This window comes from Homo sapiens, chromosome 8, assembly GCF_000001405.40.
Source record: "Homo sapiens chromosome 8, GRCh38.p14 Primary Assembly".
Lineage (NCBI taxonomy): Eukaryota > Metazoa > Chordata > Mammalia > Primates > Hominidae > Homo > Homo sapiens.
Genome location: NC_000008.11, coordinates 93009018 through 93024261, shown reverse-complemented (window position 1 = coordinate 93024261; position 15244 = coordinate 93009018). Strand labels below are relative to the sequence as shown.

Here is a 15244-nt window from a genome sequence, read left to right as displayed (position 1 = left end):
CGGAGATGTCAGACGCACCGTGGTCTGAAGCTCTCCCTGCCTACTCCTGCTTCCCCACTTTTATTCTCCACAGGAGTTTCCCTCAGTAAATCTCTCAAACCTTGACTCCTACCTTAGCTTCTACTTCTCAGAGGACATGAATATTTGTTTGGTAATCCTTGCAAACTCTCTTAACATATGTGGTAGAAAAATTGGCTCTTATTTTGTTTGAAAGAGCATTAGCTGCTATTGGAAGGCCATAATCATAATCATTGTTCTCTCTTCAAACATGTAGAATAAAAACTCTGCCATTCACCTTATACTTTTTAAATCAAAGTTTTAGTAGTATGAAACATATTTTTTTTCATGAGAAGCAATTTGTTACTATTATAGACCAGCATTGACAGCTATTAGGCAAAAGGGGAATACCATTGTATGTTACATCACAAGCTTTGCCTCTGTTGCTTGGATTCCAGTTAGGCATGGATAATATGCAGAGATGACATGTTCCAAAACCATGTACACTTGCCAGTTGATGGCCCCAGGCTATGCCATAAATACATTATCTTGAAGAATACTGTGAATAGATGAAAGTTTATTGCTACTAAACACTATCTTATCTTCTGCTAATGCTTTATGACATAGACTTTTTATTGGACAGTCCTTTTCTGGTTATTCCTCTGGCTTATTTTGTCCAGTAATTTTCAGACCTTTTTTTCTTTAAGCATGAAATCCCTCCCACCCCCCAAACAGATGCATGTCTATTAAGCGAATAAAAGTATTAGTATTTAAGGGCCCAGAGATTCAACCTGTTGATCTCACTTCTCCCCAGGATGACTAGAATTCTACCTTGAATTTTGAAAACGACCACTTAGATATTGCAATCTTTTGGATCACAAACTAAATTTATACCCCCACATGGTGTAGGAAGGTATTTACGGACCTTGTTCCATATGGTGTCTTTTTTTTCAACTGTGACAGAACTTTCTATGAATGACAGTGGAAATTACATATCTGAAGTGGGTGAAAAATTAATCTTAGCTGGCACCAAAATTTTTCTTGGGAGACAATTGTCTTTGTTTAGAAAAATACTTTGGTAAGTGTTTTAAAGAGTGGCATCTGAGACCCTCAAACCATGGGCTTTAAAGACAAATTTAAAAGTGATATCTGCTCTGCAAAAGAAATTTATGAGAAATAGAGGCTTGGAAAAGAAAAAAGGAGAAAGATTGGGGAGAAGAAGGGGCAGGCAAGAGTCAGGCAGGACAGTGATAGAAGCCCGAGTTATATTTGTAAAAACCAAACTGTGGGTTATTCTCCATCATAATTTCAATTCTATATTACAACCACATATAATTTTAATTATTATATATCCACTTTATGGAGCATTAGCTGTGTGCTAAGATGTTTTGTCTGATTTTTTTCTAACCCAGATAATAATTCCATAATGTACAATATATTCCCACTTTACTGGTAAGGAAAAGTAAGACCAGGGCTCTCCATTTATCTATTTATTCCCTGAGACACGTATTTATTGAGATCTTACTAACTGGAACATACCCTGTTAGATGCTGTGGGTATGTACAGTAGAGAGCAAAGGAGGTGATGTTCCTGGTCTCAGAAAGTTTACATATATACACTTTATGCTGGCGATGAAAGATTCAATTCTAAGTATATATATTTTTAAAGAAAACACACTCTAATAAGTCAAACTATTCAAACAAGGCCACTCTTTAAGAAGTTAGAAATCTTGGCTTTTCTGCTTCTTCATGTCTTATAATAGACCTGAGGTGGGTGGATAACCTACTGGAACTGCACACCTTACCATGTGTTATTGATTACTTCAGGCACCTTTCATAGCTACTCACAGGACTTGGAACAGTGCTTTGAATTTAAAATGTCTTCTTCTGTGCTTGATGTGCCTAATTATGTCAGCACCAGCTGGAAGGAGATATTGACAAGACAGTACAACACGGCTATGTTCCCTACATAATTCAAATTCAGTGGCAGGCTTCCACCTCCGTCTCCCCCTTCCACCTCCATCAGCATGAAGTGGAGCGAGTCTACTGCTCCATATTAAATGCACAAAAAGAAAGGGCACACAAAGACAGGTTTCACTATGCTTTCAATTCTTCAATATCAAAGGTCTTTAATATCAAACTTTTCAGGAATAATTAAATTACTTAATAGCCACAGGAAGTACACAAAAAGTTAGGTTTCAAATGATGTTCTAATGCCTTATTAATTTGTACTTCTGATAACAAATTTTGATCACTTTCCTTCCCCTTCCTGGGGTAAAGCAGTGAAATATCCCATCTGCTTTTATCATCTTTGGAGCACAATGGCCTGATAAGTCTAACAGTGACTTGAGAAGTGTGCATTCAATGGAGGCACATAGCTGCTGCAATCAGCATATAAGTAAATAAATTATTTATAGTCCTTTAAAAGGTGGCTGTATATGCTTTATTTTTTTACTTGTATAAGTTACCAAAAATTTATTGGATAGCTATTATATTCCTGATGCTGGGTACACAAGATACAGGAAACAGTTCTACTCCTCTAGAATTTACAAGCTAGTGAGGAACACCGATGAATAGGCTAAGGCGTTAACTGAATAGATAGAAATTCACAGAATGCTATGAGAGCATTTGGGAGGACAATTTAGTCTTATAATGGGTTTTCATTTTTTTGTTTAAAACTGTTTCTGAATAAAATGTTTATGTGCACTCAATGTAGCAAAATAAAAACACCAGCTATTTAAATAGAATAATATCTAGAGAATTAATTATATGAACAAAATTCAACTGTGGCTGCTTGATACAATTTGTCAAAGCTATAAATTTTTAATAACTGAAAAGACTAATCATGTTTTCTATCTATAAGTTAAAGCACAATATTATTTTTAGAAATTATATATCCTCAAACTTCTGCAATGTAAACAATGGAAAAAAGAATATTATGTCAAAATAAATCTATAATAATAATTATAATATCACTATATGAAATTAGAATAAAGTAACTAATAGGTTGTATTCATATAAGTGCTTAAAATGTGAACTATTAATGGAAATATACTCAGAAGATCCCCCCCAACCCCTGGATAGATTAGGCATGGAAAGCAAACATAAAAAAATCTTGCTTTAGAATGTACAAGATTGCCCACTATTAAAATACTGCAAACGTAACTTTTTTTAATTACTGAACATAGGTACACCAATAAACAACATTAATGTGGGACATATTTTAACTTCAAAAGTTAATGTTTGTGTTATTTTGGTTTTTCTATAGGGTCTTTTGTTTGCAAAGAACAGAAATTCATTCACGTCACCTCATGTAGGCAATGCTGTAAAATAAAGAAAACAGGAATCTTAGCCAATCTTCTAGGAAAGCCAGAAAGAAAGAAAAAAATGGTTTTAAACAAGAATAGGAATCACTGAACAGCCAGGTCTTGTAGCGACTGGAGTGCAGCCTTGTTGAGCCAGTGTGACTGCCTATTTACCTCATTGCTTCCTTGGCTCCCCATAGCCCATCCCTCCTCAGTCAGCATCTGATTTCAACCTGTTTAGGCTTCCTTTGGTGTGTATTCACATCTGCTTCCACCACCAGCCAGCTACCTTTCTGTGTGTAGCTATCTAGTCCCACCCAGGAGGATGCTCTGATTAGTTCAGAGGTCAGTGTCATTGGGAGGTAAGACTCTTATGTCATGCAATCTCAGAAGTTTCTGGCTTCCCTGCAGTTGGGTGCCCACCCCAATTAAATTGCTGTGGTCACAATGGCAGGGTTAGGTGGTAGAGAACACAGCTACCTGTGACTGAGCTGCTGCCTGGAGTCCTCTCTACAGGAAGTTTGTTAAATTACGAATATTTACTTCTGACACTTACTTCCAGAGTGTGACACAGCTTCTTTGGCATATGCTGACACTAACACTCTTTGTAATAAAATGGTGCATTATTCTCAAAAGGCTTCAGTTTTCTTGGGAAACATGAGGAACATGTAGACAAAATTGAAACCAGAACAAGTATTTTATCTTTTGCACATCCCTTATTCAAAAATAACGGTAGTCAATATCTGGCATTATGTAAAGTGGATGACATAAAAATAGGACTTTAGGCTCTAGGGATTTTCCAGGTGAAGCTTTATTAACACAGGATAAAACAATTCGTTGCCTCACAGAATTAAGTAAAAGAGGAGGTCAAGAACCATGCACTTAAATCAGTTCCATGTTTTCATTGTTACTCAAGTGTTTTGATGTTACATGCCTATTACTTAGGTTGGACATGCTATAAATATGCAAACTTATATGTTATTATTAATAATTTAAAGTGTCAGTAACCCATTTGCTAGCATTTATTGACTGCTTACTGTGTGTTACATATGCTGCTGAGTTACTTTGACACATTAACTTATCTAATGTCCAATGAGTTAGTGACTATTAACTAGCTTCACTTACAGACAAGGAAACTAAGTCATAGATTAAATTACTTGTTCAAGGTCAACTCACAGCTGGTAATAGTTGGGGTCAGGATTTTGTTATAGGTACCCTGAGTCCAGAGCCTATTCTCCTCATCACTGTGTCATACTGTCTCCTCGAGAGAACTGTTAAAGAACTAGTTTATTCCAACTTTGGGGGAAAATTTTGCTTCTCTGTGTGATCTTCCTGAGAAAATAATTTAAATTTTTTTTTTCTAAATATCTAGACAACCAAAAGTTCAAGAAGAAGACATGCTAACAAAAAGCAGGAAACAGTTATGGAAGAGGATCCTGAAGATAGATTTTTAGGAAAATTGGGTTGGTCTGCCAATATCATTACTCTTGTTCTCATCCTCTAGACACTTATCCATGAATTACACCATGCAAAGTACTTCCCCTCCATTTTTCTTACTGTCCAAGAGTCCACTAGCTTTGTTTTTAAAACACAATTTTGTATAAATGTCACTGCTTTTGTCTCCTTTGGTCTTAGTACTATAGAATATTGTGTTCCCCAATTTTCCTAAAAGAATCTGGCTCTAGCTAAATTTATGCTAGCCCTATTCTGAGTCATAGGGATCAGAGAAAGTAGGCATGAGCAAGGCTGTGCATGTATGTGTGTGTGTCTGTGTGTGTTTGTGTGTGTCTATGCAGTGTTGGGGCTCCCTGGAAACTAGCTATTTAAATGCAATACCAGTGAGGCTTGATTCAAGCAACCTTAACCTTACTTAGAAGTATTTTATGCAACTCATTTCACTATGAAAACCTCCCTTTTTTGTGTTTGTGTTAAAAGAACTCTCTTTAATGGCCAGATTATTTCTCCCATCACTGCTAGAATATTGGCTAATGGAAGACAGTCTTCAGCAAAACGAAATGACACACAGACTGGACCCTGGGTACTTGGACAGTATTTTTGTTCCAACACCTATCTGAAACGATACGCTCTGAGGGGCGACATCTTTCTTCCACTCATGGTTTCCATGACGAGGGATTTTCCGTAAGCACATGCCAAGAAACAGAATTGGAAGGGTGCAAAAATAGCACCAGAGTTGGTGCCAAATTTTTTTCTTCACCAATTTTTATTTTGCCTTCTTCTCTTTCCTTTCCCAAATGATCTTTAACCTAGGAAATTGACCTCAGGCTCATAAATTCAGTAGTGGTGTGGCTTCAAAATTTTTTTGTCAGCTCTTCTTAGAACCTAACCCGTCTACAAGGTATTCACCTGCCTTCAAAATCTGTACCTAACCTACCTTTACTGCTGAGATATGTCCAGCGTTATATGCTCTTTGTGTAGAAATATTTCAAACTTAGAGAAAAATGCGGCAAATATTATAATGCCCATGTATCTTTCATCAAAAAATAATGAGGGTTAAGATTCCTTAACATTTTCTTCAGGTCATTTAAAAAATATTTTCAATTGACAATAATTTTATGTATTTGTGGGGTCCAATATGATGTTTTAATGCATGTATACATTGTGGAATGACTGAATCAACTAATTAGCATAGCCATCACCTCACATTCTTATCATTTTTTTTGTGGTGAGAACATTAACAATCTACTCCCAGCAGTTTTGGAAGATGCAATACATTATTACTAACTATAGTCTCCATGCTGTACAATAGGTCTCAAAAACTTACTGTTCCAGTCAGACTGAAACTTTGTACCTTTTGACCAACATCTTCCCATTCCCCACCACTTCACCCCCAGCCCTGGTAACCACCAGTCTTCTCTCTATTTCTATGCGTTCAGCCTGTTTAGATTCCACATATATGTGACATCATGCAGTATTTCTGTGCTTGACTTATTTCTTTTAACATAACGTCCTCCAGGTTCATACATGTTGCCACACGTGATGGAATTTTCTTCTTTTTAAAGGCTGAATAGTATTCCTTTGTGCACATATACACCACATTTTCTTTATTCGTAAAAGATATGGTCTTCATGCATTCAACAAATATTTTTGAGCACCTACTGTGAGCCAGCCAATCTTGTTGGTGTTTGAGACATACGAGTGAGCAAATGAGATTCCAATCGTTGTTCTTGGAAGCTTGCATGCTTTGTAAGTTATTTTTAAACCCTTTAGAGGAGAAACAGTTACTGCCCACTCCTGCTGTTTCCTCCTATATAAAGGTGACTTCCGACACTCCGGCAATTCTGGCCTCTCCAGCCTCTTGCCTTTCTTCTGAGGGGAGCCTTTTATCCTGCTGGTGAGTTTGGGAAAAGGAATTGGATCGGGGCATGCAGCGTCTCCTTATCTGCAAACAGGCCTGCCGGTGGGAATCATGGTACTGTTCCCCAGCAACACAACATTAATTTCAGAGGGAGATGCTCTGCCACTACAGGAGTGGGTCTGTGTAAGTCTGGAATTGTGCATGGCAGTGTGGACAACTGTGTCTGTTTTCAATATCAAGAAGCCTATTTTGCTACAGTCCTAAGTCACATCCCTCAGCCTAGACCTGATCATAATAGAGGTGATATTTTCATCTCCAGATGCTATTTTGCTTGTTCGTTTATTTCTTACTTAGTCCTGAAGTGACTGAACGAGAGCGTCATTTGTTGGACTTATCTAAACATGCGCAGTCTTATTTATCTTCCACTCTCCCCAGAGCAATAGCTTCCTGATATTGGTATATATTCTTCTGGTCCATCTCTCTCTCTCTCTCTCTCTCTCTCTCTCTCTCTCTCTCTCTCTCTCTCTCTCTCTCCAAGTATATATATTGCTACATTTGTGTTTAACTATTAAAAATCAGTATTATTGAATGTACTTTTAAACTTTACATAAATGTTTCATGTGACATATATTATACTGTAGCTTGTTTTTTCCGTTGAATTTTAAGTTACTAAGTTCTATCCATACTAATATGTGTATAGCTAGTTTGTTTAAAATTGTTGTATATTACATCATATGCATATGCCATACATTTTTTAATTCATCCCTTCTGTGCTAGCACTTCTTTTGCTAGCCTTACATCTTTGCTTTAGCTGTACCCCACCTCCTGATGTGCTACCTACCCAGCTCTGAGGCTTCGCACCTGCTGCTGCCTCTGTCGGGAATACCTCCCTCCACTCTCCTCATCACCCATCCAGTGCTCACTGCCTGGATGACTGCAATATTTAGGACTTAGCTCAGACATTTCTATCTTCATAAAGCCTTCTCTCATCTTCATCATGCCTTGCCTTTCCCAAATTGTTATAAGGATCCACATTTTAAAAATAAGAACTGAATTTAAAAAGGTTTTATACATTTGAGTTCTCTACAAAAGTGAAATATTTGTGGAACAAACTTTGTAAATTTTTTGCATTAAATCTTAATAAAATTAAAAGTAAAAGTAAACTTTGCTCCATTGTTGATAGAACTGTTTCTCCAAGACTAGATTAGAAAACTAGTTGTTAATGAAGCCAAATGTGCATCTTATATTCCCTTTTGTACACATTGCACTGAATAATTTCTGATTAGATTAGAAAATAACAACTGATTTTAAAACCTAAAGATAATGCCAGAGGACACATGGAAACTCAGAAAATTTGTCTTTTTTGAATTACCAAGTGGGAAACATATTTTTAAAAATCAGTAGGATTGTTTTGTAAAATGTACTTTGTTCATTTATTGTGATGACACTACTCTAAATTATTTATGATCAGACTTTATACTATATTTTATACTCTGAGTAATGTGAGTCCTTACTGAAGCTCTTTGCAAGTAAATCTTTGCTAAGAAGCATTCAAGATCATCAGTTTTCAATGAGGATTTCAAGAATTAGTAAAGAATTAGGATGTTTTTAACATACATTATATTTATTAAGTTCAGTTCTGAAGAATATAAATCTCTATGCATAGCTCAGGAAAGTTCTGTTTTATTTATTTTTTTACTTAAAAAAAGGTGTTTTTATTTTCTGATGCACAAGGTGTTTTGTGGAGAACACTCATTAGGGTTAATGGGAGTAAGATGCAAAAATCTCTCCTGCTTTGTGAAAAGTACAGGCCCCATAATGCTTCCAGGAGGAATACTCTGAAACCTTCATAAAACATTTATATCAGTTGAATAGAAAAAAAAGAAAAAGAAAAACCTCCTTTAATAAAACATTTGCCCCTATTATGCTATGCTGCTTTAGAATTTTATTTATTCAAGAATCATGAGCAATAAATTTTCATTCCATGTACATTTTGCACAGAATGAGAGCATGCCAATACCCTTATGTTATAAAGAAAGATAGCATCCTGAACAGCAAAAGCGAGGATTTGTTAGAAAGTTGCATCTTTCTCCATCGTTTTGGGTTTGTGTGTGTGTGTCATTCCTAGTTAGAATTCAAGCTATACACCTTAAATAAATAAGATAAAGAAGCAAAAAAAAAAAAAAGCTTATGCTTTTTTAACTTTCTGAGTGAGAAGTTAGCAAAACTATAAAAGTAAAATTTATAATGGGGAAAAGGGTTAATTATTTAAAAAAATAAAACATGCTTGCAGAATAACCACCACTAAATTTGCTTTGTAGTATTATATTACTTTGGTTATATGTTAAATCTGACAATTTAGCTGGAATTTTAGAAATACACTAGAATTATGTAAAGAAATTTTAAAATAATGTAAAGTACTTTTTGAAAAGCATCTAAGTAAAACAAATTTTTAATTACAAAAGGAAAACTATCTTTATATATTAGTTCATATACCTATAAATAGATAATTTTATAAATTTTAATAAAATGTTGTTATTGCCGGATACATTTTAAAAAAGATTCTGATATTTTGATAGTCTTTAAAAGGTCAAGCAGTTACAGTTAATGTTTATATATCTTGAATAAAATAGCTCACTCTTCTTGAGGAAATGTTAAAATGTTGAACATCTATGTTCTCCACAAGTAAATAACACATTATATGGCTACATTATGACCAGATTATATCTATTAGTTACTGCTGTGCACCATGTAAATCTCTAGATTCCCCTGGGAAATGAGAAAATCATTTCAGACTTCAATAACTAACAATCAGTTATTGCTCTGGGCAATAATAAAGCTGAATGCAATTACCTAAAGTGAAGTTAGCAGTGTAACAAATGAAATACAGATTTTTTCCCCTCTCTTAAAATAAATGTAGCATCTCCTCCTCCCACACTACTCTGTATTATAATGGGTTCTTCCAAAGAGTGTATTGTCTAAACACTCTATTTGCAATTTGAAATATATGTGATTAAAAATTATAAAGTAACTTTTTATGATGTCATTTGGTTGGTGCTCTAAACAGCAATAACAACACAACAACTCAGAACAACCACAAACCAAAAAACCAAAACCAGTAAGACTCACAAAACTGTAAAACATAAACATCTATTTAATTTAAAATATTTACTAGACAGTTTTGTTCTTCAAAAATGCTAAATTTTCTCAATGCAAATGTTAAGACTTTTTTCCTCATAGTTGTTCATATAGCAAAATGGCCAGAATGAAAAATGATAAAATCATATTCAGAGTTAGTAATAACGGGCTTGCATATATATCATTACTCTACATTATTATTAAAGTATTTATTGAAAGGAATATTAAAGAGAAAGTAGTGGGTCACAGTAATGCCTAATTTATAAATTTTACTCTTAGAATTTCTTTTTTTCTGTAACATTGTTTATTCGAAATTGATTTCTAATTCATTATTTGCATATATTTCCTATTTGTCACAACAGAATGCAATTATACTGAAACAGATTTCCCAGTAGAAAGTTAATCCTGCTGTTTCACATTTTGTTTAACCATTTTTTATGTATAATTGTAGCCTGTGTTTTGGCATAGACTACTCGTGAAACAGTAGATTTTCTGGCAATTTGGCTGTTAGCATACATTTGATGGTGAATATAGCCTTTCATTAGCTCTGTATTCAAATAGCACTGCCAAAGTATTTTTCATGTTCTTTACTCATTTCTGTTTATAATAAATCCTTGGAAGCTTGAAACTGACATCTGTTTTCTGAAGTAATCCTTTCTCTTTCCTCTATATGGGCACATACTGACTTATTGTGGGTTGTTTATTAGAATTGGGCTGCTAGCAATTATTATTATTTAAGAAAATGGAATTGTTTTGTGGGGAAAATACATAGAAAAACTGCATGAATAATGTTACCAAAGGATATGTAAAAATTGGCACCTACAAATATTAATGGCATGTACTTAACCACATATTTATATTCTTAGTTGTATCATATGTTGAGTAATTTGAGGGATGCTTCTATTTCTCAGACCACACTATTTGAAAATAAAATTCATGTACCATAATAAAATCATTACTGAATGTGCTTATCTAAAAGCCCTCTTTTAATTCCTTTTTTCATTCAACTTGATCCCTCTTTCTCTTCCTCCCTCCCAACCTCTCTTCTGCATTGTCCTTCTTCCCACTAGCATTTATTGACCATAGACTGTGTTCCAGGATCTGTCACTTCCATAGGTCATGCAAAGGTCAATAAGACATGTTTCCTAACCACAAGAAGCTAACCATCTATTAAGCAAGACAGACAAAGAAACAGAAAATTATTATTTTTTTAAGTTAGATGAGATGAGAGTCAATCCAAATAGTCAAGTGTTACTCAATAAAAGCTTATCGAATCAGCATATTTACTCTTTAATTGGGAATTTTCTGAAGATGGAATATTTAGGAGACTGTGCATTGCCGTCTCGTCTAATCACCATTGAGCGACCCAAAGTTTTCATAGTGGTAGTCTTAGAAACCTTCTCATTGTATACCATGAGTAATCCTGAAAACATTTAGCAAAGCCTGTTTGATTCCTGTTGTGTAGGACATCATGGTTCTCAGACACCCCTTCACACTATGCACACAAAGATCCACTACACCAGTGGTTTTCAGCTTTAGCATGCAGCAGAATCACCTAGAGTGCGTGTGAAAACACAGACCACTGAGCCCCAGCCCTTGTTGTTTCTGATTCAATACATCTAGAGCTAAGGTCTAAAAATGTGCATTTCTGATGAATTCTCAAGCGATGCTGCTGCTGGTGGTTCCAGCACTACATTTTGAGAAAGCCACTGCATTACATTATTTAGGAATATTTTTTACCCTTTTATTCAGAGGGTTTAGTAAGAAAACAAACCTGCTGACAAAATGCTATTGGAGTTCAAGATTTAAGCTGGTGCGTCACTTTGTTAGGAGATAGTGAATTATAACGGCTTTATGGTCTTTTCTGGTATCAATGTGCAATTATGGGCAAGATTAGAAATGTATCTAAATTTTGCTTTAAAATTAAAGAAAAAAAAGCAGAATTAAAGACCAGAAAAATCTCTCAATAGTTTATCTAGTTCAGTTTTCCTTAACCATTTCTGAATATGACCAAATTTGACACCATATATTCATAACCACAATGAAGAGTTGGCTTTTCTGAAAACGCTGGATCTACATATGACTGCAAACACCACTTCTCCCTCTAGTTTATATATTCATGAGATTTTGGCATATGGACAGAATCGTGGGCACTCTGTTTTACCTGATCATCAACAAAGACATTTTCTGTGTATTTGGTTAAATGTATGATGTTTCCCAGCACAAAGAAAAGACAGAATGTTAATTATTTTTACTGCCAAAAAGAAAAAGCTGAACAAATATTTACCCTTTCAACAAAGTTTCTGCCTGAAGACTTACAGGAGTATGATTGATCCATCCAATTTCAAGAGTTCAAAATTAGCCCATATTGCTTTCCCAGCCATTTCTAATTCCTATCAATTTATTCCCTTGGCTTTTTATTTTTTATTTTATTTTCTATTTCTTGCCTTCTGAGTACGTATCTGCTTCATGCACTGTCTAGATACTTTTCTCCAGCTTACAAATATTTTCCATCTGTCCCCAAACTGTCCACCATCTATCTGTATCTTGTACTCTCAACATCTGCATCTATCTTGGTTTCGATACATTTGCAGTAGGAGGGTGGTGGGTAAGAGAATGGGCTTTAGATTTAGACTAGGTTTGAATCCCATCCCTACCAATTAGTTGTTTTACTTGGATCAGGTTTCCTAACCTCCCTGGTCCTCAGCTGCTTCATCTGTAAAATAGGGTTAATTCCCAGTTCATAGTTTTATGGTCATGGTTGAATGACAAAATGTTTGTAAGGTATAACCCAGTCTTTGGCACATAGTGAATGCTATTTGATGATGTTCTTCTTCCTTCTCCTCATCTTTTTCCCTACTCATATGTTTTTTCTCCACAAAACCTAGATTGCTACAGTCTTCCCATTTCTTCTACCACCTCTTTGACCAGGAAGGGGAACCTGAAAATGGTGGTGTTGTTCTTTGATGATATTTCTTTTAAAAGAAATAAGTTGTGTGTAAGCTAAAGCTCATTTTTGAGTTGCTGTTTTAAATACTACCTATAACCACCACCAATTTTTCCATCTGTATCTTGCCTACTGAAGAAATTATTTTCTACTTGTGAGTTTTAAAGTTAAAAAAGTAAATATTGTTGTAAACAAATTTACAGTCAGTTCCACTGCTTAATGATGATTTCCACAGAAATAATCATTTCTGTGTAGTGAGATCATTCAAAATCCTCTCTTTTAGCTATTTTAGTACAGTCAGTACTGTAATTAAATGGGTCAACAGAAATACCTCCTGTATATATATATATATATGTGTGTGTGTGTGTGTGTGTGTGTGTATGTATGTGTATACACACACACATTCATACAGTTTATTAAGATCATATGAGCATGTGTGACACTCAGAATCCTATACGGTCCATTAGCACAGAATGACCATTAACCTGAAAAATCCATTTTCATAAGTATCACCATTTTGGTGCCATAAAATACATTGTGAGTTATGCCATAGCTGACATGCTTCAAAGTGCGTGTGGAATTTGAGAGGCAAAAATGCTTAGGTAAGAGAAACAGTAAATTAATTGTTAAATTCTTCTTTCAAATAGCATAATAGAGGAGGTAGAGCATTTGACTGCAAATAGCATGAATGAAGCATATATGTGTACAATTAAGTATTATTTTCTAGGAATCCAAACACCTATTTTCCCTCTTTATGTTCCAATTTGTGTTTCTAAAAATTTTCATGAATTATTGCAGTATTTGCAATAGTTGCATGTGATGGCTGAGAAGTATTTTATAGTATTAATCTATATTACTCATAAATTTCTGTATATGCCGTTCTATAAAGTGTGGCATTTATATTCTATACTAAATGGATGCGAAACTAGAATTACAAAGGTTTTATTCTTATAAAAGTATTTAATGAGATATAATTACATTTTTAAAAGATGTAAAATACTGCTTTAAATAATTTTAATTACAAATTCATATAAATTATAATTTGTACTTATTTTTTAATGTTAGTGATTTTGGATAGTTTAGAATAAAAATATTCTTTTAAACATGTATTGAAATACTTCTTATGCTTTGACTACCTTAAGTATTTTATTTTTTTAATGGACACATAATATTGATACATACTTATCTAGTACAATGTGATGTTTCAATACATAGATACATTGAGTAATGATCAAGTCATGGTAATTAGCATATACATCACCTTAATCATCATTTCTGTGTAGTGAGATCATTCAAAATCCTCTCTTTTAGCTATTTTAAAGTATACAATACATTATTGTTATCTATAGTCACCTTACTGTGCAAGAAAACACCAAAATTTATTCCTCTTATATAATGGCAGCTTTGTACCCTTTACCCGTCTCTCCTCATTCCCCATCCCTCCTACTCTCCCCAGTCTCTGATAACCACTGTTATACTCTCCACAAGATCAACTTTTATAGATTCCTCATCTGAGTGTGATTATATGGTATTTCTCTTTCTATGTCTGGCTAATTTTACTATCATAATGTCCTTTAGCTTCATCCATGTTGTTACAAAGGACAGGACTCTATTTTTTTATGTCTGAATAGTATACCATTGTATATCTACACTACATTTCAACCTAAGTGTTGGACACTTAGGTTGATTCCATATTTTAGCTATAGTGAATAGTGCTACAATAAACAGGAGAGTACAGATATCTATTTGACATGCTGATTTTTTTTTCCTTTGGATATAAACCCAGCAGTGGTATTGCTGGATCATACTGTAGTTCTATTTTTAATTTTTTGAGGAACCTCCATAATGTTTTCCATAATAGCTGTACTGGTTTACATTCTGAATAGCCTGTGTAAGGGTTCTTTTTTCTCCACATCCTTGCCAACATTTTTATCTGTTGTCTTTTTTTTTTTGAGGCAGAGTCTCACTCTGTCACCCAGGCTGGAGTGCAGTGGTGTCATCTCGCCCACTGCAACCTCTGCCTTCTGGGTTCAGGCGATTCTCCTGCCTCAGCCTCCCGAGTAGCTGGGATTACAGGCATCTGCCATTATGCCTGGATAATTTTTGTATTTTTGTAGTAATGGGGTTTCACCATGTTGGCCAGGCTGGTCTCAAACTCCTGACCTCAGGTGATCTGCCCACCTCGGCCTCCCAAAGTGCTGCAATTACAGGCATGAGCCACTGCACCCGGCCTCTTTTGTCTTTTTGATAACAGCCACTCTAACTGGAGTAAGGTAATATTTCATTATTGTTTTAACTTGTATTTTCCTGTTGATTAGTAATGTTGAACATTTTTTCATGTACCTGTTGTCCATTTGTACGTCTTCTTTGGAGAAATATCTATTAAGATTCTTTGACATTTTAAAATTAGATTATTTGTTATTTTGCTATTGAGTGGAGTTCCTCATATTTTCCGGATAGTAACCCATTGCTGTTTTCAGGGGATGAATATGTGCAGTTTACAAATAATTTCTTCTGTTATCCATATTGTCTCTTCACTTGC

General features: G+C 34.8%; 1 protein-coding gene across 1 annotated transcript in view; it reads left to right on the top strand.

The window, feature by feature from the left end:
* Positions 1 to 6596: 6596 nt before the first annotated feature.
* The window catches only part of TRIQK (triple QxxK/R motif containing), a 134132-nt gene continuing 125484 nt past the window's right edge, over positions 6597 to 15244 (top strand). Inside the window, exon 1 of the mRNA XM_047421713.1 lies at positions 6597 to 6653. The gene's annotated coding sequence lies outside the window, so the exon portion shown is untranslated. The remainder of the gene's footprint in view (positions 6654 to 15244) is intronic.